Here is a 26,465-nt window from a genome sequence, read left to right as displayed (position 1 = left end):
TAAAAATAAGGTTTGCATTTGTACTGTCCATGAAACATGAAGAACAAAGGAAATTTAAATAAGTTGAAAGCAACACAATCTGTGTAATAGTTAGTAATAGTTTAGAATTAGAACTCGTTTTGCTCACAAGACACTAATTCATTATTACAGAAAATATGACTAGACCTTTATACTATTCTATGTGTTTTTCAAAGTAAAAGAAGCAAATACTGAAGCTATAAAAGCTTGTTTTTCTTTATTAGAATATTTTTTTCAATTCTGATTTGTCACAATTTAGATTGTTTTTCTAAGAATAAGTAGAAATTTACAAAATTTCATTTTTATTTATATATTCATCCATTCAACACACATTTCAAGACATCTGTATTGCACCCTTTCAGTGGTAGTTACAGGACAAAGAAAGAAAATAATCCAAGAGAGAGACCAACAAATGTATATTTATAACACAGAGTAATAAACACAAATAAATGTGGAGTTACTTAAGCATGTAAGATGGTACATGCTCTACTAGGTATGGGGGCTTCTCTAAGACACAAGATCAGATTAAAGTCTTGAAAGATAATCTGGGGTTAGTCAAGCAGGTAGAAGTGTGAAGAGCACTTTCTGAGCGGAATCTCCATGTACCAAGTCTAGTTCAAGAGACTGGATAGAGATTAGCAATTTGGAGAATGCAATATTAAGAAATGGCAAAGGTAAGCCTACAGAGATTCCAAAGTTGCATAGTGAGGTTTGTGTTTGAGAAAGTGGACTCAAGCAGCCATGCAAAAGAGGGATTAATAGAAAAGGAGACTGAGGTAGGAAAATCAAGGCATTAGCTGTTGCAGCTGGTGTGGGCAGAGTTGGGGAGGCAATGGGGTGGATTCATGAGCTATTAAAAAGGTCAAAGGAGCAGGGATTCATGACCCATAAGTATTAATTAATACAGAAGAAGAAAATATCAGAATGAGTTCTAGATTGGGGCCTGAGCAGCTAGATGTTGGGATAATAAAAAGACTGCAAAAGGAGAAGATTTACACTTTGGCAAAAAATGTATATGAAAGTATCTGGGAATTTTATGCCATCATTAAATCTACTTATTATGCTGAAAATCCTTGTTAGCTGGAAAGACTAAGAGAATTCCCCAAGGTGCCTAATATATAAACTTGGAGTAGTTTTCCTACTTCAGCTTTTATGTGGCTTATTATTTGCAGTCAATTTATAGTTGGTCAGTATTAATCCATTTATCATCTCTGTAAGATTGGTTAATGGAAGCAGATTAAAATCCAACAGTGGTAATTTTCTAGAAGACCTCTAGAGAGACTACAAAAAGCCAAAAAATCAACTTTAATTTTTGAGTACTTTTCCTATTTAAGGTTACTGAAATAAATTGTCTTTGCTAGAAAAAAATAAGCAGTATTGCCAATTAAAAATTCAATTTACTATAGAAATATTTCTGATTATTTTACCTTTGGGAAGCAATGCTTCTTGCTTGAAAATTGTATCAGCCTCAATGGTTAGTGGTTGTAAAATGGAAGAATGCATACTGCAGATGGGCTACGCATTTGTTTCCTTGTGTTCTATATTCCCAGTCACAAATATATTGCTTTGAATTGTATTTAGTCAAACAGCAGATTTGACTAATATTTCCCTGAATTCAAATAGTTTAGATTAATTAAGCTAACTGATTGGTTATCTACCATTATATAGATATCACCCGAGTAATGTTGTCAAAATAATAATTAATTAAACTAAAATAAATGTATGGCCCTGAGACCAGAATAAAATGAAAACCAAGAATAAAATAAAGTTTGCCATTACTGGGATGTATTCAAGTTCAGCAAACTTATATGTGTAGTTAAGATGCTTTACAACAAAATATTGCATTTTGTTATAGCAACGAAGTATTGAGCAGCTTCCAAGTCACTACCTTATGTGTATTATTCATACTAGTAATACTGGTAAACATTAGCGATATAATTTTCACTACCAAATTTTATTATATTTTTCTTAGCCAATACATGGAGCAAATTTTTATAAAGTATTTCTTTTCAAATCATTGAATTCCTCCTCCCCAACCTTTAAATCCCCTAGTCGCCAAGAATCTTGGGTTCCACACCACCACTTTTTGCTTCTGTTATTAAAGTTGTTGCCCTGTGAGCAGTGGGACACTACACCCATCAGCTCCAAGGACACATCATGGTCATTTACATTATCTAGTATCCTGTGGCATGATTTTAGTATTTCATTCAAGCACTGACAACTTTTCGTGTCGATTCAGATTTTATAAGATTTGATTACAGTGAGTTTATAAAATATTTCAGTTATATATGCAATAGAAATGAAGTATCCTACTTTTGAAGGTAAGTCTAAGGCATTCACAGCAATAAAAAAGAAGTACTTTAGTACTTCTGGACTTCAGTCAAGGGAATTATTATTGTAAAGCACTAATAATGCAGGTTTAGATATTTAACCAGTCATAGATACCAGGAAGCCAGGTGTTAAATCAAAGACAGCAGGAAACCATGAGCCACAAAAGCATCAGTATAGCAGTATTTTAAGTATTACAACTATACAGACCTGCACCCTAAAACATGAACAACGGTGTACCTTATGAAGTTCAAAACCCTACCTAAAGACTAAGAAGCACTTTAGCCTGGTGGGGAAAGCAGTGGTTATGAGTGGAATAAAGACTGGAAAATTTGCTTTTGTAGTGCAGAGCTTTAGAGCAAGCACAGTTTTATTTATTTGCCTTAAACCAATATTTCTGGATAAAAGGTATGTTTTTCTTGTGGAGATTATAGAATAACTATCATTAGCAAAGGCAGAAAGTATTCATTTCAACTTAGTAAAGACATATTTTTTCACTATCACAGAAAGATGACCTTTACATAAAAATTGTTACATATACTTCCATAGATACTAATAGTAAGCATGATTTTTTTAAAAAATAACTTTCTAAGACAAATGACAAAGGCTTTTTCATGAATTCTTTGGTTATAGACAGGTTTTGAGTGATTTTTGTTCTATGAAATATTAAGTGATTCTGCTGATATCTGTTCTGTGTGTCCTTTGGAGACCAGAATATAATTAATTTTATTCTGGTCTAACATATTTATTCTGATTTACATTGCTTTTATGTAACATAATTATAGAATGAAAATATACCTTTAGATCTGAGATAGCATATATCATTGATGAAGCTCCTGCTGAGCATGTTGCATAAGCTTTTCATCCTTTTAAAACTAAAAACTCAGAGGCTCTTAATAGGAAGGATAAACAAAGCTGAAATACGAACTCTGTATATCTTCCAATGATTCTCGACATGATGTTTTGTATTCACTGGCCCAGAGACTCCTGAGTTAAATAAAGCATAATCAAATATAATTAGTATGTTCTGGTTATTTTACAGTAACTTACTATCACTTTAGCAAAGCAAAAAATACTGGGAAGTGAGGGATCCAATCTACTACCAAAACAAAGAGCTCCTACTGTAATGTTGATGAACTAAAAATTTTGAATCTAATCAGCAAAGAAAGTTAGCTTATATGCATAAGTTTACACCCCCAAATACATGGGAATACATGAAACTAAAATAACAGAAAATCCAGAAAATTTGGGAGGAAAACAAATAAAGCTACATGAAAAATTGTAAAAGAAACTAGTCCATGGTGATAAAATAAAATATGTAGCCACTGCAAAAGATTTACTTCTAGATTGGTTGCTATGTGTCCTCTGGTGGAAAAGGAAAGTATTTATTTTTGTATAACTATACTGCATATTTTCCCCTATAATAGTGTAAACAAGCATATTTGAGCACATCATAAATGACCAGATCTTTTATGGAACTAAAAAAAGTAATTGATTAATAGATAGCCTATGTATATTGAATTTTACCTTTTATTTGGAATATCATTCAGAAGTAACTTACATTTTTTCTATGCCTGGGGACATTATTTTCTATACCATTGCTATCATCTGATTTCCTGTACAGAAAACAAAAAAGAAAATTACTAAATGCTTATATTATATAAAATTAAGTCAGTACATCACTGATATGGCTATCAGGTTAAAATGTAAAATGTCAATACAGACAGAATTCTTTCTTCCTAAAAATGTTTTACTTACAATGTTGAATTTATTTTTATGGCATTGCTTGAAGAGGAGCTGTTACCACAAATGATAGTGACAAAGGCTTGTTGATTTTATGCACAGGGAGAATTGCTTCTCCCCAAGCATAAGTGAGGACTTGGGCATAAAGACCATAACTTATGTGTGGTTTTGGAAACATGCAAGCTAATAGCCAATTAGGAGGTCAACCAACATGTGTGATATTGGTGCTATACATTTGTATGCTTATTACACTGAAATAGAGGTTTTAAAAATGGTTCTTTTTCCACCCAAAGTTTATCAGAGCAGGACTACAAATGTGGGCCTCAGATTCTAAAGATTGACGAAAACTAAATAACCAGTACGCATAATGAATACCTTGCCCTTCAAGGTCTTGGGGGCAGGCTTCAATTATCACATCATAATGCATATCATAAGACAGTGTTACTTATAATTAACTGATAATATTTTCTAAAAAAAAGAAATCCCACCTGAGTGCTTTTTTCTTTTGTGTGTACTCTTCAAAAGCAGAATAATGGCCACTAAGAAAACACCTCAGCAACTATTGCAAGAAATGGTTTGAGGGGCACCAAAAAGCTCATTGTTCTGAATGAGTTCAAGTGTCCTTGATATCTGTATACAATCTAAAGATAGTGAAATAACCTAAAGAAAAACTAAACACCTTCAGTGATCCTTATGGTGCTGTACAAGATGAGCAAAATGATGTACATTAACCCAATTTTCAGAAAAATAATTCATCTTTTACACTATAGATTGAATCCATTTTACATTGTTCAGAAGTGATGGTCCATTCCACACTGTTCTGGCACCATCCTTTCAGAGTGTGTTTTAAATCAGAATGCAACTTCCAAATGTGAGCTCAGAGGAATGGTTAGAGACAGTGGGAGGCACAGCTCAGAGAATAGAGGAATCCGAGCAAGGTATGTCAATGACTGTCACGTTTGTTATATGATGCTAAGAACAAGAAAAAGGCCAATACATGGAAACAGGAAAGATTAGAAGTTCAAATCAACATAAATAAGATGTCTACATTCTCCAGAAAGAGAAGGGATTCCCTTGGGAGAGATACAATTCCCTTCCAACTATGCGAGTCTATGATTCTAAGACAACACTGCTTTTCTCTATCTGGTGTTATAGGATTTCTGACGTAGTTATTTTGTGCCCTTAACTTGGAAGCTCATATCATATTGGTTTATTTTACCAGCCTATGTGAACAGAGTGAACATGATTATTTGAATAATGTCTACAAACATCTAAATGACAACTGTCTGCTCCACTCCTGCTATCCGTGCCTATAACACTCACTCCATAGAGCTCCTGTTGGCTGATAAACTCTAAGTGCCATTTTGTGTTAGTTATACTTGCTCAGGCCTTCCACGTCTCAGGTTTCTTGCAGCAACTTTAATCTAGCCTCGTTTTCCTGGCCCCCAGCCCTTGGCTCTATTGCTCAGGCTTTAATCCCAGTCTTAGACACCTCTGTCACTAGCCTCCATACTCAGTTCTCTGGCTTGGAGGAATCCGGAACTCCCATCTTTGCCAAACTAAATTACATCCCTGGTGATTTTATTTCCAGACCTACTCATGCTTAACTCTAAACAAAGGCTGTGTAAGAGAACCTGTGACATAATTTGTGTTCTCTGAATAATAATAACTAATAGAATTCTAGGCCAGTGATTTTCAACAGACAGAGGATCAAAACCATTTGTAGATGTCTTCAAGAAATACAGATGCCACAGACCCAACCCAAGAGGTTCTGGTCCAGGAGATTCAGCAAGGTCTGAGCAACTGTATTTTTAAAGAGACTCTTAAGTGATCAAAAATTGCCAGGCTTGAGAACTATTGCTTTAAAAAAATAATATTAAATACTTCCTGATGGTTACTGCACACCTGTGCACCATAACCTATGCTATGCATTTACACATATATAATATTCATTCCATCCAACAACCTCATATGGTGAGTACTATTATTAAATCCATTTTGTAGAGAAGAAAGCTGAAGTACAGAGAAGTGCAGGTAGTAAGTGATGAAGAAGAATTCTCACGCAGGCAGGCAGACTTGGAATGCCACTTTCCACCACCACGTGGGCATATACAGAAAATACTCCTCTGCCTTTTTTCCCCCAACTGCAAACATTTCATTCAATTTTATATTTCCCTGTATTTTACTCAAGCGAAAATTAATCTGTAAAAAATAATACTTACAGCTGTTCAATCTGCTCAAATTCTTTCCCCTCATCTGTGTAACAAAAGAAGAATTTGACTATGAAGTTGGTTTGTCATTTTTATGGAACGTATATGCTCAATTAAACCTCCTTCCTAAGTAAGAAAGTACTATGCTGTTTCTCTTGTTTGGAATGAAGGAGAGACATGCTACCTTAAACACCTACACCTCCTTTAGTTGCACTACAGACCTTATCTGCATTTCTGATCAAACATAGTTTAGTGGCCTGATATTTTCAAAAACATGACTGCTTAGTTTGTCATTATTTAAATCATTAAAAATTTAGTATAAAATCAGGAAAGAACACAGGATGTAAGGTCAATTTTCTCTAGGATTACTGCTTTATCAACCTGTAACCCATCAGGCACAGGCTGCAAAAATAGGAAATGACAGGATGGTCTCTCTTTAATGAGAACTCTGGAATGGTTAATAAAATATTTTTTAAATGATAATCTAAGTGAAAGAAAAATTGTTTCTTTGAGACTTTTTATATTAAGCTATCATAGATTTTCCGAATATTCCAGTGCCAGAATACATATCACCTAATTGGTACTTAGGTACCAGTAGCACCAAAAAAAAAAGGTGGGGGGTTGGGCAGGGGGCAGGGAAGAGAAAGAAAAAAGGCATTTTTAATACTAAGTTTTTTCAGGAATTGAAACAGGAAGACCATTGATATGTTTCCAGCTCACTGTCACCATTGTTGTAAACCTAAATACTGCTCCAAATAAGAAAATGAAGATTTTCCCCAAAAATCCTAAAGTCATTGCAATGTATCAAATCATAATCCATATCATAAGTAAATAATACTTATAATTAACTGATAATACTTTCGAAAAAAACAAAACAAAAAAAAAAGAAATCCCACCTGAGTGCTTCTTTTTCTTTTGTGTGTACTTTTCACAAAGCAGAATGGTGGCCACTAAAAGAATCACCTCAGCCACTATTGCAAGAAATGGTTTGAGGGGCACCAAATAGCTCAGCACCACAAGCTCAATGTGTTCTTCACTCTCGTCTAATTGGAATAGTGCATGGCACCAGTAAAATCCCCCATCTTCCTCCAAAAGTTGTGTTATCTTCAGCTTTGTTTCATTAGCATATGTTCCATTGATCACATATTTATTCATTTGAACACCAACAGGAACCTAATGTGAGGAGACATTAAAATCCATTCCTATCATAGTACATAAAAGATACATGATATAGTTTTTCAGTGAAAGCTATAAGATAATGCCAACAACATTGCTTACTAGAGAAAGGCATATTAAAATTTGTGAGAGGTTATCTATAACACACTTAAGTCTTATCAGAGTTTGATCTCCCAGGGAGCAAACAAAGAAAAAATGTATACATTGCGATAAGGATTTAGCACTGAATGTTTAAAACTACAAAGAAGCAAATAGGTCATCATAGCTAAGTATTATAGAAGAATTAAAAACAGAAAAATCCCAGTCATCTGAGTCTCACATTCCTATCCCTGCCTAGTGCTTTAGTCAAAGTACTTTTTCCTTCACAAGCACAGGCACATATTCAAACAACTACCACCCTGGAAGCTACTATTTCTGATCATTTCTATACAGGAAAATCGCTCACTCAGACAATGTGATTTCCCCAGGCTAGAAATGAAGATGAAACTTTCAGGCCTTTTGGAGCTGATGTAGATAGAATGGAGGGGACCCTCTGTGAGCCTGGGGTCTGAAGTGAACTGCACACCTTCTGTCTTTTCATATCTGAATTTCTTTCTCTCTCAGATAAGCTGGCTTCTAAGATTTGCAGGGTTTTCCACAGACTCACAAGGTGCCATACTAAGCTATTTGGGGCTGTTTTATTTAATCTATTTAAATTAAATTTTATTCCCAAGCCATTTGATGCTTTCCCTGCTCCATCACTCAACCGTACTATTCAATAAATGCTAATCTGCATACAAATATTCTCAGAGCTTATCCAAGGAAGAACTATCTGTGAGTATATTATTTGTGCAAAAAACAAAAAAATTACAGCAACCTGGCACCATGTGCACAACACTGCCTGGAATGTTTGGTACCGATTGGTCAGAGCTAATCAATCAAAGTACCATATTTTTAATAAGTACCCAGCTGATTCTGATGCACCTGGTTGGTCTACATTTTGAAAACGCATTTGTGCTCAAGTTTTGACCTGCGCCCTGTTCCCCAAACTTTTCTCACACTCTAATACGACTCATGCTTAGAGTTAAATTAAGAGGATAATGACTAGTATAGCAATGGACAAAAGCACCAGTATGTCTAAAATGACATTTTCAACATCTGATATAATTAGATGAAGGCTAATGTTTTTCACGTATTGTTGTACCACATACACATCAATAAATAAAGCTGTGTATTTCAAATACCACAGTTGACATTTGTTTTTACAAAATTATACTTTTTGAAAAAAAATTACATATACACAATGATTGCCTTTCCTCATCATCCATCAGAAGACAAGCAGGAGTAGGAATGGCTTCAGTCTGCATCTGTGGGATTTGGTTGGAACTATTTCATTGAAAAACTAAACCTGTTAGCACAGAGTAAGTCACACTCCCTTCTGAGTCATCTATCATCCTTCAATAGTCTATAATAACGCCAATTTTGTCTAAGAAGGAATTTAATATTTCATTGTAACATCTACACTGTCTCATATGTTCCTTCTACAATTATAGCTTGCCTTTAACAGGACTTTAATTGTAATGCTTATTAGTGCCAGGGCAGAGGAAGGGTGTCTCCTAAAGGACAATGTCCTAAATTTTCCTGCCATTAGAGGCGATTTGGGGAGAAGAAAGGAAACCAGGAATTATTTATAAAATACTCATGTTTTTCTTAATGTCAGCTCTTTGAATAGCGATTTATCTTAGTAAAAAAGCAATTAAAAGTATTAGGCTTCTCTCAGGTAGCTTGAAAAGGCCAATAACACTTACTGATAGAACCTAAGAGGTAAGATTAAGTTACAAAGTTTTCATTATTTTCTCAAATAGTGCCATTATTTTGCATTCTATCACAGATGTTTCAGGAGACAGAAGCCCAAAAAAGGTGTCTAGCATTTTTTCTAGTTACTTTCATGGAATGATTTTCAAAAGAGTATTTTCTAATGGGGTTATTCCTAAACTAGGCAACTATACACAAAATGTAATTTCTTTTCAAAGAATGTAATTAAATTGTTAAACCTAAAAAACAAAGTACAAGCTAATGAAAAGTTACGAGTATCTTCATATGTATAATGCAAACATGCCAAAAACCATCAAATGACAACTCCGTTTGTCACTGCTCTTTCTTTATGAACATAAGCTAAACAACAAGGTAACAAAAGTATAAATCATCTTAGGAATGCTGAGTCTGTTACAATCTTGTTATTTATTAAATAAATGTTTTTTGTTGTTGTTGTTTTCTTCAAATCAAGGAAATATCTTACCTTTACACTCCCATTACTACTGTACCAGGTCCAATTTAAAGGAAAACAATTTTGACATTTACATGTCAAGACAGTAGAATCCCCTACGTAAGAGATCAATGGCTTGTTTTTCCCATGAAGTTCAGGGACTGAGAATAAAATAGAGAAATGTATGTTACTGAAAGAATTTAGGTAAAGGAAATGTATTAAATGTGCAGATATTGTCTCCTTTCATTTTTTCATTACATTATTTTACATACTTTCAGTTATATATAAATGAAACTAATTTATAGTAGTTAGGGTGTAGTTAGTAGTAATAATAATAGTAGAGAGATTCAATATAATTGTCTCCAATGTATAGAAATGGAAGGTCTTCTATTATTGAGCCTAACAACAAAAGTATTGTTTCTTTTTGGATAAGTTACATGTTTTGGGTAAGAAAGAAGCTTCATATTTTCAAACCCCTGTTCTTTCTTCCCGCCTACTAAGCTACCTTAGAGTAATTACTTTCTTCAAAGTTTTGACCTCAGGTAGCATTTGAGTGAGAAGATAAAATTTCCAGGATAGGAAATCTTTAGTTGATACGAATTTATGAAAGGCCAGCAAAGAGTTAGAGAAAGTGGGAACAAGGAACAAAGGAAAATTAACAGAAAGAGAACAGTGTAAGAAAGAAAATAAGATTTAAAAATGCTTTCATGTGGTTTTGTAAAAAATATATATATACTAATATCCATTATGATAAATTTCCTAGTCAAGGAAGTTTGAAGTAGATTCCATTAGAAACAGAATACAAATGGGCACTGAATTTAGAAAAAAAATGTTTTAAGGATGTAAATAACTTGGTATATTAAAAGATAAGAGCATAAACAGTACAATGAAAAGCCTACAGGTGCAATCAGTTCCTTCTGATTGACCTTGAAGGATGTATTATAGAAGGTACACTTACACTGAAGATGTAGACTCAGCAACTAAGATTATTTTGCTAATTTTTTCTTTTACTTTTTGGAATTTTAGCAGGTTTTATGCTTCTTTTGGTTTTGTGTGTCCGTGTGTGTGCACATGCGTGTGTTTGTGTGTTTACTTTTTTCATTTATATGTTTAGTTTGCCAGTAGGGAAAGAATAGATGAAATCATGTCAACTAAAGACCTGCAGATAAGCAGAGATTGGAGCTTGGCTAAAATAGGGAATCTTTGCTGAAGCCACAAGGTTCCCTACAACCCGAGAGGAAGAGCAGCCACACTTCCTGAGTTCCATCTGAAGAGGCACAAGATGCATTAGTGCATTACTAGGGCAATGACCTCTACAGCCCTGTTAGGCTCACCTTAAAACAAACGCTGCTTTGGAGTGCAGGTTTTGCATTAGACACTAAGTAGTTAAGGACACAGTTTCCGCTTTCCCAGGTTGTTTATCTCTCAGATATCCCATTTCTCAATCTCTACATGTTTCGTTCTGGCAATTGGGTCACGCTTTAGCAGGAAAATATCCTTCCTTGACTAGGAAATTTATCATAATGGATATTAGTATATATATATTTTTTACAAAACCACATGAAAGCATTTTTAAATCTTATTTTCTTTCTTACGCTGTTCTCTTTCTGTTAATTTTCCTTTGTTCCTTGTTCCCACTTTCTCTAACTCTTTGCTGGCCTTTCATAAATTCGTATCAACTAAAGATTTCCTATCCTGGAAATTTTATCCAGGATAAATAGGTTCAAAATACCAAAATTTAGCCACAGGCTAAGAATAAAATGTGGAAGAAAGGTAATTCTTGGGGGAAAACCCGGCAGAATATACACTGCTTTTCAGTATTCCTCGAAGAGCCACCTGCTTGGGAAGCATACTGGAAGCTGCAAGGGGCTTTTCAAGAAAGTTGAGTATTCTATGAGATTTGATGAGGAACACATGACTATGTTATTAAACCATCCCAACTAAATATTAAGATCAGGCTGTAAATTGCAGGTAGCTGACAATGACTGAGTGACAACATGGAAAAGCTGAAACCAAAATTCTGTTTTCTTGCCATCTCTTCAGTTTTCTTGATTATCCCCTAGACTAACGACTAAAATACCATAAACCATGCTTTTGTTCTGCTATATATGGCTAATAACAGCAGTGTGGATTTAAATTATAAAATGCACTATGTTCAGGGAACATGACATTTGTTTGAACTATTCTGGGGTTTGGGGCCACAGCTTATATTTTGAAATATTTATTAATATAAGGACAGTGAGACAGTATTCTAATGTGCCCTGTTGACCTTTTAAGACTTTGCATAAAGTCGGATGCATAAGAGTGCTAGGGTTGGAATAAACCAGGTTTGAAGGTGGTGAAATTGCTGATTCAGGCTAGTTTCTAGGAAGATGGGGTTTGGATATACCCAGTGAAAGTAACAGCTCTCTGGAGTTGTAAAATTGGAGACTATATTTGTATATTCATGCACTAGAACAAATTGGCCTAAATGTCATACTGGTTCAAAGACTTTTAGGTATCACCAAATTAGGAAAAAAGATTACTCCATGTAGTAAAAGAATGCTAACTATACTTCAACACTGGGATCCAGGGCTGAAGTCCCAGCTGATTCTACTATGCTACCTTTCCATACTTTGAATTTTTAGATACTTCCAGGAGAAGACAGATAGTTGAGCTATGACAGGCTTCACTACATTTGGTAGTATCAAAATCTCATCATGACTTCCAAAAAGTTCTTGTTCTTTACCAATTAAATTTCTTCATACTTTCTACTAAGATATTTTAACATTGATAAATATTATGGAAGCTTTCAGCAACCACTCAGAATGTTTGATCCACTACTGAGAAACACTATAGACCATCACTCATCTTTCTCCTTCTCGGGTGGCAAGTTATCAGCAATATATTAGCAGTCACAAACTTCCAGTGTACACTTTTGCTGTCTCCTCTGTCCTAGCATCAACAGTGAAACACATAAAGTCAGCAGGTTTTTGTGCATTGAACTAATCAGTAATCTTGAGGGCCTTTTACAACCTTGTAGTAGTAAATCAACCAGCACCCTTAAAGACAGCAGCAGGGACTTTGCTGATGAATTGTTCTGAAGACTCAGGCTCATGCACTATAGGTGGCTCATGTAGTCAATGGCAGAAAAATTTATCTTTGGCTCAATTTAAAATAGAGAATAAAACAGCCTTTTCATCTACATGCAGTTGTAAGTATTCTAAGAAAAGATAATTCTTCTTCTTAGGAAAAACCATTAAGTAAACCATAAGGAGAAATAATATAATAGGACATTTATAAAAATATACACCATTTTATAAGCCTTTCAGAACTATTAAATAACTATAATATGAATAATGTACAGATGTCTTTAAATACTACTCAAGTAAAATTATTTCTCTAAGCAATATTCAATTTAGATGAATTATAGAGAATTTTTATTTTACCAAGGAAGATTTGAAAGGACCCAACTTATTAATTTTATAAATATCTTCAAGATATAATACATACTTAAAAGTTACGTTAATGTTAAATGGGCATTAAAAACAAATTAGCTAACCTACACTGCTTCAAGACAACTAGAAAAGAAAAAAAAGGAAGTATTCAGTGATTCTTTGCTTTCCTTAAAGCCTTGATTTAAATCCTAGGCCTTGAGTCAATGCTGCTGACACCAGCCAAAATCAGCTTAGTCATCTCAAAACAGCTGGAGAATCAAGAGGCCTTCCGTGTGAATACTTGCAATTCAGTGTATTGGTATGTTGAAAAGTAAAATGCTTGTTAATCTTCACATTAGACACAAGAATGATCACTTCCACATAATAATTTAAGTAATTATCAAAACTAATGAGAAAAATGTGTTATCTTCAATATTGAAAGCAGGTATTGCTAGTATATATTTCCAGAGCACAATGTCTTAGAAAAAAAAAAAATGAAAACAGTGTTTAAAGTTGAATATCTTGGGAGCATTTTAAGTCACAAGATTCTGTGAGCATTTCCTCAGAATTTGTAGGCCTTCTTTACATATTTTTTGAAAACTCAATAAAACATGTTCACTGAAATTTTGTGTGTTTAATATTTTTTGCTCACTGGGAAGAAAAAGAAAGAGAAAGGGAGGAAAAAAGGAAGGAAATGAACTCAAAAGGTGGGAGGGAAGAAAGGACAGAAAAAAGGAAAGGAAAAGAGAGATTAAGGAAAGAGGAGGGGAAGGGCAGATGGGGCAGGGGAGGGAAAAATGAAATGCGAAAGGAAAAGGAAACTGAAAGGAAATGTATATGGTGTTATCCAGTCCTTCACTAAGTTAAAGGCAAATGGAGGGAAAAAAGTTAAGAAAGAATATACATGACTAAAATAATCAAAGAATGATACTAGTTTCTGCTTTTGGAGAGACCAAGATATATAAATACAAGAATTTATTATATTCACCACACTGGAACAATTACAAAGCCATAAAAATAAAATGACTCTGTGAGTGCAGAAGGGATGCAATGAGGGACAAAGGAGTGAACCATTAGATCATGGCAATGGTGAAGCAAGCCATTCTGCTGTTGATGGAGCCTTGAGAATAGCATCCACATTCTGTCACAGCAGACAGTCGGGCTTTAGGAGTTTTAGGAAAAGTTACAATTTTCATGTTTCCTGGGAAATTAGTGCAAAGCAGAGTCCAACGTAGTTAATAGGGCAACAGATTGCATTTCCCAAATACCAGAATGATATTATGGTTCACTAATCACCACAAAATACTGGGTTTTTCAAAATGATAATTATCTAACTCAAACAACTAGTCTTTATTATGAGATTGAGACCTCCTTGAGTTTTGGTTTAATGATGGTAACAGTAAAATATTTTAATTCGTTTGTTTCCAAGGAAAAGAAATGTGGATGATATTCTGGGGCTTGTATATATCTTTAAACCTCCTTACTTTGTGAAATAAAAAGTAGGCAACCCTTTGTGCATCTCCATATTATTTTTAAGTTTTATGGATCCTAAAATCCCATGTCCTGGAGCTATGGATATAGAACATCAACCCACACTCTCAGAGGCTGGGACCACAATAACTTAGAGATGTGGAAGACTATTATAAAAGCTAGGAATTTAGAGGGATAAATAAAGAAATTCAGGCGACTGATATAATTCACTAATAATGTGGTAGGCTGGCCTTTTGAACTAAAACCTGTGCTTTAAATTGAGGAATAGAAGCAGGAAGGAAGTGGACTTGCGGGATACAAGACCATTTTCAAGGCTGCCTCTTGTGGCTCTGGAAAGCATATGACTTTCTTTCAGCTATATTATGTTTACTATTGTAAAAATAATTTAAAAATTACAGGATTGAGAAATCTAAGAACATAATGCTGAAGTTATTAACTATTCCTCAAGTTATTAATACTGACCTTTGAAATTAAATGTTCCCCTTCGTTCTTTTTCCTCTCAGAAGAAACAAGAATAACTTCCCATTTGTTTGCTGTTAATGATGGTGAACCTAAAGATAATTCAAGTTATTAATATAGGCTTAGTTCTCAAAACCTTCTTAATGAAAATGAAAAGACTTAGCCATTAATCAAAATTTAAAAAGAGAAATAATTCTGTAAATATGCAAATTAGAATATTAGCATAACATTCAAGTGGCTGCAGAGGAAAGAATGCTCAGTCAGCAAAAGTATTTAGAATTAAGCTACTTTTGGTGAGCAAGGTAGGTTAAAATTTGTATACTCACCTGTATTGGGTATATAAGGTGCTTCCTGTTGCACTGACAAGATAATTATTCTCAAGTTGTTCACTATCTTTTTTCCAAGTCACATTTACTGCATTCAAATCCCCGGATGTTGTGAACTGGCATGTGAGATTTACATCAGAAGGCCTTTCTAAAGTGATGTTTTTTTCTACTGGCATACTAGAATGTTCTATTAGCACAAAAGAGGACAAAATGTGAAAGTTATATTCAGAGGGATCTAATATATAAAACCTTTTAAATTATTAACAGTAGTGTTTTATTGACAATTTCTTAATGTAACATTCATTTGAAGAATTATTCCTCTATCAACATAGTTGGTTCCCTTTCTTATTCCCTTTTATATGCACACCTAAAGTTTTGATCCAACATTAACACAATTTAAAAAAAACCTAAAGCTGTGATAGTTATCTCCTTAAGCTCTGTACTGAGCAGAATATAGGGTAGAGAGTACCCTATAACATGTGCCATATGCTCTGACAATGTAAAAACAGCATAACTGTAAATACAAACACACACTCATGGGTGAGAATGGAATGCCTGTTTCAATAATTTTGAGTAATCATGTTGTTGGTAGTTATTATGAGAATGTTTTGTGTGTAACATGGATTTGAGTGATATATTATATTCTAACCATTCCTAGTCTTCTTCAGAACCTGTAGGGACTGGATATAGACATAGGTACAGGACAGAGAATTTAAATAAGCATCCAGTAGTTCTGAATTTTAACTGAATTTCAGTATCAGTATGAATTCATGAGGTGTTTATCTTTTTTTCTGACTTTCAAAATAGATATTTATTTTGGATTGATTAATTGATTATCATAAGAACACTTAACATTAGATCTTCCCTCTTAGCAAATTTTTTAAACTTGTACCTAAAAAGTAGTCTGAAAGGTCCTCAATTTCTCTTCCCATCTACAGGTGGGAAGAGAAGGAGCTAACCCTTAGAGAAGCTTTAGGGAAGTTGAGGTGTTTATCTTGAAAACAATACACACACACACACACCAAACACACACACGCACACACACACACACACTGAAGGGGTCCAGAATATGCCAGGATAGCATACAAATTATTTTGAGCAGAAGGCATTCGAGTTCCCAAAATAGCTACTCTGACTAAAAGCAGAGCCTTTCAAAGGAACTCCAAAAAACCTCCACTGTCATAAATCCCCTCCCTAGGAGCAATAGGGAGAATGGACACTGAAGATGAGAAGTCTTCACACCATACCTAAACAGACACTGTCACAAAACTATCATATCTTCCACCTGTTATCTAAAGGGCTCATTTATCTTTCCTAAAACTCATTTCACTTTTCCATAAGTGGCCTTTCTCCTCCTCTCCTTACCCTACTAAGATGGTATATAAGCCCCCACTTTTAACTGCCCCTTTGAGCTACATGTTTTTCTAACTTTTGTCCATATGTGATTAAATAAGCTTTTTGTTTTGCTAATCTATCTTTTGTCAGTTTAATTCACTGAGCCTGAAATTGCCGAGAATTATAGAGAAAAGGTTCCTCCCTGACAGTTTGGCAAGGAATATGGAATGGTTAAGGACTCCCCACCCTTCCACTCCAACCCCACTTCCAAAGCCTGAGATTTCAGGACCTCTGACCCAGCAGGTAAGTACAAGCTTTTTTTGCTTGCAGTCTGAAAAGTTTTGCCTATTTTATTTCATTAATTTCTTGGTATTTTATGGCATAATTAACATGTTAGTATTATTTTTAAAAACTCTATATCTTTTTATCTCTGTTCTTTTTAAAAAAACAGATTTTCTTTCTTGGACTTTCATTCTTTCACATGCACTTCTTTTTATTATTATACTTTAAGTTTTAGGGTACATGTGCACAACGTGCAGGTTTGTGCAAGGGTGCACTAGAGCAAGAGCAGTAAGAGTCTCTACTTGTCTTTTCTTTCTTCAGTTTAACCCTCAGGTTCCCAACCACTAACTCTCTAACAATACACACACACACACACACATACATACTTAGGGAAAATACAAAAAAGTTAACTTTAATTTTGAACAGTGGCAAATAAAGAAAAAATATTAAGCACGTACCTTGTTTGTCCTACACTAACTGTATCACTGGCTAACCAAACAGTAGAGAAAGTAAACGTTCTCTTTATAGAAAAATTCCAGCAAATGAATAAAAAAGAAATCATACAAATATACCATAATGATGCTGCAACCCCTAGTGAATCATGGATCTAGGCATTTTGCATCAACTGCTGCAATAATTTCAAAAACAGAATTATGTCTCTCTTGAGGAAGAATACCCCACTACCTAAGATATAGTCTTGTCAAAAAGGGTGCTGGAGGAGGTTCTTGAAACTGGTTAAGTCTCTGGATCCAATTCCCAGTTTACAGGAAATACAGATTATGGAGGAACACATTAACCTACATTTCATGAAAGTAATCAACAAAATCCAGATTCTGGGAAAATTCTACAAAATAAATGATCCGGTTTTTTCTTTTTCTTTTTTTTTTTTTTGAGATGGAGTTTCATTCTTGTTGCCCAGGCTGGAGTGCAATGGTGCTGTCTCAGCTCACTGCAACCCCTATCTCCCGGATTCAAGAGATTCTCCTGTCTCAGCCTCCCAAGTAGCTGGGATTACAGGTGCCTGCCACCATGCCTGGCTAATTTTTCTGTATTTTTAGCAGAGATGGGGTTTCACCATGTTGGCCAGGCTAGTCTCAAACTCCTGACCTCAGGTGATCTGCCTGCCTTGGCCTCCCATAGTGCTGAGATTACAGCCATGAGCCACCGCACCTGGCCTGGTTTTTTCAATAGATAAATTTTAAAAGGGAGAGAGATGTCTTTGTATTGGACGTCAGGTGCTATGTTTGGGGCACCTGAAGATTATAAGATACTCAAAAAACACCATTAAAAGAAAAGCAAAACTGAACTGTAACATTTAGGGATGCATATCTGGGTAATAAAACAATATAGAAAAGCCAGAAAGTGACTGCATAAAAATCAGAATAGTGGTAATTACTCTTAAGGGGAAGAGAAGGAGTTGTGTTTGGAAGATGGCAGTGCATCATATAAACAAATTTCTCAAGCTCTTCTCATTCTCAATAATGGAATAGTATGATTAAATGTAGAATGCAGAGCTAAAATGTAGAAAGAAAAATAATATAACTCAAATAAAATGGTCAGGTGCAGTGGTTCATGCCTGTAATCCCAGTAATTTGGGAGGCTGAGGTGTGTGGGATTGCTTGAGCACAGGCATTCCAGACCAGCCTGGGCAACATGGTGAGACCTCGTCTCTACAAAAAAAAAAAAAAAATGAAAAAGTTAGCCAGGCTTGGTAGTGCATGCCTGTGGTCCCATCTAGTCGTAGGCAGAGATGGGAGGATCTCTTGAGCCCGAGAGTTGAGGCTGCAGTGAGCTAAGGTGGCACCACTGCACTCCAGGCAGGGTGATAAAGCAGGGCCCTGTCTCAGGAAAAAAAAAAAAAAAAAAATTCTATCACTTTTAACTACATTTGAAACTTTACAAAATGCTTCCATAAGCAAGGACCAGATGCAAGGTTTGCAGATAGTGAAGTACAGCTCGTGCAAAGTGCTTTGTGAGCACATGCTTGAAATAACTGCTGGTATAATTGCAAAATTGCTGAATTGAATTTAATGCTCAAAAAGAAAAATAACATTTGATGTCTCTAGAATACATATATTACCAGAGACTACCTTATTCCTTGCAGTTCCCTTTACTGTGCTCTATTTCACTATCATAGCATATTTTAAACATTCTGCTAGCCACACCAAATAATTCCAACTACCTTTTAAATGTTGGGTGCCCATCAGGATTTTGCTCTCTGGTCTCTTTACTTCTCAATTTGGCACTCCTTTGTTGGATTCAACTATTAACTCTAATGCTCTTTACTTACAAAATTAGAATCTCCACTGAAGTCTTTTTTTTTTATTTTACAGCTCCAGGTGTCTACGGAGCATCTAAATCTGGATATCCCATGGGAACTTCAAACTCAAAATATCCAAGAGAGATCCATTAATATTCCCTTGCGCTGACCTGTAACACCGAATCACATGCAGTAGTATTTAGTTGATTCTACTGCTAAAATGTCAAAAAAATTTGCCCAGTTTTATCCAACCCTCCTATTATTGGCCTTCATTATCTTTCACCAAGACCAGGCAAATTACCTAATTTCTCTTGGCCAGCCTTTCTTGCTCCAACCAAAGCAAAACTCAAATTGTTTAACTGCCTTGATTCTATACCTTGCATTTCCAAATCAAAGTATCTTTGTATTAGACATCAGTTTCCTTATTTGTAAGGTGGGACAATAATATTTCATGAGATTGTAAAAAGTTCTTATCATAAGAAACGCCAACAGTAATATAATATAGCAATTAATAAAAGCCCGCTTACTTCTTCTCACCATTATCTCACTGGGGAATATTATAAAAACTATCATATATGGTGCTAAGGGTTATATGTTGATTAAATCATTTAATCTTCACAACAGCTTTATGAAGTAAGTATCAATGTTACAATTCCAACTTTAGAGATGGGGCAAAGAGAAGCTGACTATCTTGTCTAAGATCACACATCAAGACAAAGGCAACACTGAATCTCAGATTAGGTATGCCTGAGTCCAGATGGTGATAACCAACAGAATATACCAACTCTGAAACATATTAAATTCTCATTACAATGGAATTAACTTCATTACCTTCAAACTGTTGAACCAAGATTTTAAATAAAAGAAACTATTAATAGAAGATTAAAGAAATGTACAGTGTAGCTATATACCAATGTGAATGTAATGATAAATGAACAGTGCAATCAAAATATTTTAAAAATACACATTTTCAACTAAACATAGTTTTACATAACTTAAAATGCAACACAGTTTTTCTTAATGGTGCCATCCTCCAAGCCCTAATCGTTGTCTCACTGTTTCCTATAACACTTTGCAGGTGCTTCTGCAGTTTGCTTTCCTTCCTGTCTAGAAATCACAGCATCAAAAACATGCAAAAAGCTCTATCTTTTTACATATTTTGTGGTTAGCCAACAAACTAATGTGAGCTCAGTCAACAATGTTTCAACTTCCTTAATACTGCACAACTGCAATGCATTTTTGCTGCTTTAGAGTGCTGCAAAAACATATATGACATCTGCATTTCTAAAACGATAACAATTTGTTGTTTCTGCAACATATATTTAAGACTGTTCTTAAAACCATGTAGTAATTTATACCTGTCTAAATAATTTCTTATTTTCATAGATAACATTTTTAAAGTATATGGGCCTTTCAGCAATTTGCAGTCTTCAGAGAAATGACATTTAGATTTTCTTGGGTCTATTCAGGACCCAATCTTGTAAACCATTTCACTAGAAATAAAAATCTGTTTTGTTCTTTATTAAGAAAAAGAAAATATGGAAGAAGCCAATTAAAATTTATTGCATAGGACAGTGTTTCCAAACATGCTTTAAAGACAGAAAGTCTTACTAAAAACAGTTAAGTGAACTGTGACATACAGGACGGATCAGGTGGGACAACTCTGATAGAAGCCAAGATAGAAAATACAGAGCCCTATCAGCCTGACTTTTCATTATTCATAATGAGGTAGGAGGTGGAATGTGACTCTGGACCAGATTGAAGACTGACAGAAACAAGGAAGAGGAAACGAAAGCTCCTCCCCATAAGACACGCCCACCAGCACCATGACATTTTACCATTGCCATGGCTATACCCAGAAGTTACCATCCCTTTCCATGGCAATGATCCAGAAGTTACCTTCTGTTTTCTAGAAATTTCTGAATAGCCTGCCCCTTAATTTGCACATAATTAAAAGTAGTATAAACATGGCTGCAGAACTGCCCCTGAGCTGCTACTCTTGACACACTGCCCAGGGGGTACCCCTGCTCTGAAGGAGAAGTCACAGAGCTGTAACACCCCTGCCTCAATAAAGCTGATTTTTCTACCACCAGCTCGCTCTTGAATTCTTTCCTGAGCCAACCTTCTCAGGCTAAACCCCACTGTTGGGATTCACCTGCCCTGTAACAATTTCACCATAAAAGTCAATAAAGCTTCATGATGCAACCCAAAATGTCTATTAAACATCCAGAATCCTTACAGAAACAGAAGGCCACACTAACATGAGGCCAACACCCCTATATAAAAAGGATACAATGGATCTTATTTTTATCATTAATGTTGTGCGTCTTAAACATATGGGGTTAACTTATGAATAAGAATTATCAAAGTTTATATCCAAAATTTATAAAACATAATACTATTCCCTTGATTCTTGTAATTTCACTTCTCTCCCAAATAAGTCTCATATTGATTGAAGAATCATGATAGTTTATTAAGTGATCCTATCAACAAGTTATTTACATGCCATCTGATTAGTGCCACACCAATGTGATACAGCCTAAAACACATGTGCTTCCTGAATCCCATACACTTAAAATGTGAAATCACCAATGTGCACAGAGAAACCTGAAATTATATAAACCCAACTTGAGTAAAATGTAGTACTTATACACTTTGATACACGTTTTTATATGTATATAAAATCTCGAAGTAATCCCTGGAGACTCCCTCAAGACCTATGAACTATGTGGCTGGTGTTATATGAGCTGAGCCTATTTTCAAACTTTTAGAATTTTTTTTTTACACATACATCCTCAAAAGAAAGAGAAATACCAGAAAACGTGAATGGTTTCTACACAAATGAAGCCAGGTTTTCCAAAATAATTCATCAAAGATTTGGCAATATTTTGGAAAATGTGTTAAAATTATTTAAGAGGAGATGCTAGTTGAATTTCACTAAACAAAGCTTCTATCAGTCACTGTTTTCCTCCACTTCAATTAGTAACAGAAATTAAGGCATGTAATGGTTATTTCTCTACTTTCTAAACTGATTTAACATCATTTCAAAGAAAAACAAAAACAATTCTATTTGAATTCCAGAATTGCATGTCTCTTGTTTCAACAATGTAGTATTTAATTTGAGACAATAACATTGGGTAATAATCCAATAATTAAATATATTTTTCTACAGCACAGAGAACAACACTGCAACTATTGCGTACATCAGTTACAGGAAAACTATAGTAAATGGTTACATTGCTTTAGTAACCAAATACATTTGTTGCCACTGTTTCCAAATAATTAACATGAAGTTAATCCAACACTATAGCGGGGACCACTGATCATATTTTTGGACAACCAGAATCCGAACACCCTTCCCATCCGTGTAAGGTTTGGTGATAGGCAAAGTACTCACTCACTTCGGAAACCTAAGAACAGATATTTCTTCTCTCTGCCCAGCTGAGCACTAGGGTTTGGCCACTGTAATTATAACCTTCTACTCATGGCTTTAAAGTTAGAGGGAGGGAGTTAGGGACCTAGGCAGAACTGAAAATTAATCACAACAGCAATGGCAAGTGTCTAGCAGTGATTGTGCCTCATTATTCTTTCACTCACTCATTTAACACTTATTTACTGAACACCTACCACATGCTTTTCATTTATCCACTCGTTCAACAATTTTACTAAAAATATATTCCGTGCCTTTATTCTAGGCCCTAGTAACAAGAGTCCAGTGCCCGCAGAAATATCTTAAGCAGACTCTTCCAGTAATCCTTGCTGTCTGTCATCCTGAGGTCCTTGGCATTGCCAGAACTTGATTTCCAGTTTTCTCATCAATTCTGCTAGCCAAAATCCTTTATTCAACAAATTATTTCCTGCTTAACTGGCTATAGACTGTGTCTGGGCTTGAGATCATTAACCTAATCCATATACACCTATCAAGATTTACACTAGATACTTCATCTATGCACTCCTTCCATTCGATTAAAATTACATAGCACTGATGTCACTTGTCAGCTCACAAATATCTAGAACATATGATAATATTTGGTCCCCAGAATAAATTCTGCGAAGTGGTAATCATAGTACCAGTTCAGCACATCTGAAAGACAATACCTGAGGTTACACAGGGGACAAGATCCAGGCTGAGGTAGCAGTTCAGGACTCAGATCAGCCAGTCCCTGGCCCTGTATGCTCCCCTCCATGGCAAGTCCTGCCCTTTTGTTCTTGTAGCTATAAATCACACTTTAGTATTTTTTCCATCTCTTCTACATTTACAAATCAAAATCATCTCAAGCCATAACAACTTGCCTCCAATCCTTATATCTAATTTCTGCCTTCTCTACCCCAATAAAAAGCTTTCATTTATTCTGAACCATTTTGCACATATCCACTTCAACACAATGGAAGAAAGGAACAGCAAATGACAATGTCATATCATTTGATTCCCCAGTACAAGAACCATTTAAATTTTGAAATGGATTATTCTAATGGATTTCAAAATTATTTTAGTAGCAGAATTGTTTCAGAAATAAATCAGAGGAAAACGTAAGCAGAACCCCCACCTACACCACCTACACACACACACACACACACACACACACACAGATAACTGTATAAAACTGATAAAAAATGTTGCTACAATTAGTGAAGACTGGAGAGGGTGTGGAAAGCATTCAAGATTGGCCTCCTCATCCCTTCATCTTCTTTCCCCATCATGGTTACATCGCATGGAACAAAGGATTTAAAAGTGACACATGCACACGTATGTTCATTGCAGCACTATTCACAACAGCAAAGACACAGAATTAACCCAAATGTCCATCAATGATAGACTGGATAAAGAAAATGTGGTGCATATACACCATGGAATACTATGCAGCCACAAAAAGGAACAAGATCATGTCCTTTGCAAGGACATGGACAAAGCTGGAAGCCATTATCCTCAGCAAACTAACACAGGAACAGAAAACCAAACACCACATGTTCCCACTTATAAGTGAGAGCTGAACAATAAGAACACATGGACACAGGGAGGGGAACAAACACATTGGGGCCTGTTGAGGGAGGGCAGGGGGTGCAGAGCATTAGGGAAAAGAGCTAATGCATGCTGGGCTTACTGCCTAAGTGATGGTTTGATAGGTACAGCAAACCACCATGGCACATGTTTCTCTATGTAACAAACCTGCACATCCTGCACATGTACCCCAGAATTTAAAAAATAAAATACAATAAAAGTAACTGGATTTCATCAAAGGAGAGGTAAACACAAGCCTCAGTACACACCAGATCAAGATAAGGGCTCATAAATACCTAATGTAAACTGAAAAGCATGGCCTGCTACCTTGGTAATGAATTTCTCTAAACTGCAGGTGTTTACACCCTGATGCCAGTCCTTGACATTTAGTCTTACAATGGTTTATGTCTCATGGTATCAACTTCTAAGGTGCTAGCCATGCAGACACTCAGGGAGGCAGTACATATATTTTGTACACACCCCAAGTGACTGACTGTCTCAGGTCACATGCCTCCTTTGCAGAAAGGGCTCCTCTAACCTTACAACACTGCTAACAACAGACTCTCTCTATCACACTTCCTTTATATACTTCCTAGCATTTGGCACTGTCCAGTTTTGCCTTTCATATTAATTTGTTTACTTACTTATTCATTGCCTTTCCCACTGAAACATATACTGTATGACATGGGAGAAGGAGGGCAGAAAGGGAAGTCTGCCACGTTCAACACTGTAAACCAGGCTTTCAATAAATTTTTGTTGAAGTGGTTGTAGCTCCTGGAATATAGTACTTAAAACATGAATCACTTCTTTAGACAGATAAGGCACCTTGCCTTAGACTGAAAGTTGAAGCATATTAAAGTTCTGCCTCATGATTTATATGAGGAATTCTAGGCGGAAAGTACTTTACGGGATATGCAAGAAATGCATGAGAAGTTCTTGTCTCACACAGTTGACTCATCAATTGGCCAAAACAAATGTGTTTAGTACTTTTATATGCTGTATGTGATACGGAGGGGATTTAAAAATTACTAATCTAGCAGGGGACATATAACTCGAACATAAATAACTACAATTAACTACAACAGATAATCTAAATCAAATGAGATCTAAATCACAGATGGCAATACAATAGTATAAAAACATTAATTTTCCCCAAAATAAATCTACAGAGTCAGTGAAGAATCAGTCAAATTCCAAAAGTACTTTTTACAGAACCCAATTTTAAGAAGTGCAGCCATCAAAAAGTGGGCGAAGGATACGAACAGACACTTCTCAAAAGAAAACATTTATGCAGCCAAAAGACACATGAAAAAATGCTCATCATCACTGGCCATCAGAGAAATGAAAATCAAAACCACAGTGAGATACCATCTCACATCAGTTAGAAAGGCGATCATTAAAAAGTCAGGAAACAACAGGTGCTAGAGAAGATGTGGAGAAATAGGAACACTTTTACACTGTTGGTGGGACTGTAAACTAGTTCAACCATTGTGGAAGTCAGTGTGGCGATTCCTCAGGGATCTAGAACTAGAAATACCATTTGACCCAGCCATCCCATTACTGGGTATATACCCAAAAGACTATAAATCATGCTGCTATAAAGACACATGCACACATATGTTTATTGTGGCACTATTCACAATAGCAAAGACTTGGAACCAACCCAAATGTCCATCAATGACAGACTGGATTAAGAAAATGTGGCACATATACACCATGGAATACTATGCAGCCATAAAAAAGGATGAGTTCACGTCCTTTGTAGGGACATGGATGAAGCTGGAAACCATCATTCTCAGCAAACTATGGCAAGGACAAAAAACCAAACACCGCATGTTCTCACTCATAGGTGGGAATTGAACAATGAGAACACATGGACACAGGAAGGGAAACATCACACACCGGGGCCTGTTGTGGGGTGGGGGGAGGGGGGAGGGATAGCATTAGGAGATATACCTAATGTTAAATGACAAGTTAATGGGTGCAGCACACCAACATGGCACATGTGTACATATGTAACAAACCTGCACGTTGTGCACATGTACCCTAAAACTTAAAGTATAATAAAAAAAAGAAATGCATGTGAAAGAATGAAAGTCCAAGAAAGAAAATCTGTTTTTCTAAAAAGAACAGAGATAAAAAGATGTTTTTAAAAATAATACTAACGTGTTAATTAT

At 35.5% G+C, this 26,465-nt stretch overlaps 1 pseudogene across 1 annotated transcript in view, besides 2 other annotated features; it reads right to left on the bottom strand.

The window, feature by feature from the left end:
• Nucleotides 1–220: 220 nt before the first annotated feature.
• The window catches only part of EMBP1 (embigin pseudogene 1), a 52,777-nt pseudogene continuing 26,532 nt past the window's right edge, over nt 221–26,465 (bottom strand). The window contains exons 2-8 of the transcript NR_003955.1: nt 15,413–15,599; nt 15,090–15,178; nt 9,754–9,881; nt 7,196–7,472; nt 6,312–6,345; nt 3,908–3,962; nt 221–3,333 (exon numbers count right to left, since the gene is read on the bottom strand). The product of NR_003955.1 is annotated as an embigin pseudogene 1 (transcript). The remainder of the gene's footprint in view (nt 3,334–3,907; nt 3,963–6,311; nt 6,346–7,195; nt 7,473–9,753; nt 9,882–15,089; nt 15,179–15,412; nt 15,600–26,465) is intronic.
• Nucleotides 13,187–13,688: an enhancer, noted in NCBI's record as "NANOG hESC enhancer chr1:121300219-121300720 (GRCh37/hg19 assembly coordinates)". NCBI's record gives its function as "activates a minimal SCP1, AML or CMV promoter by ChIP-STARR-seq in primed H9 embryonic stem cells {active_cell/tissue: H9 hESC(primed)}" and the evidence as "EXISTENCE:reporter gene assay evidence [ECO:0000049][PMID:30033119]".
• Nucleotides 13,331–13,531: a silencer, noted in NCBI's record as "peak398 fragment used in MPRA reporter construct". NCBI's record gives its function as "represses an SCP1 promoter by STARR-seq MPRAs in K562 erythroleukemia cells {active_cell/tissue: K562}" and the evidence as "EXISTENCE:reporter gene assay evidence [ECO:0000049][PMID:32103011]".

Source organism: Homo sapiens, chromosome 1, assembly GCF_000001405.40.
Source record: "Homo sapiens chromosome 1, GRCh38.p14 Primary Assembly".
Classification (NCBI taxonomy): Eukaryota; Metazoa; Chordata; class Mammalia; order Primates; family Hominidae; genus Homo; species Homo sapiens.
Note: the sequence above shows the minus strand (reverse complement) of the source record. Positions and strands in the feature narration are given on the sequence as shown.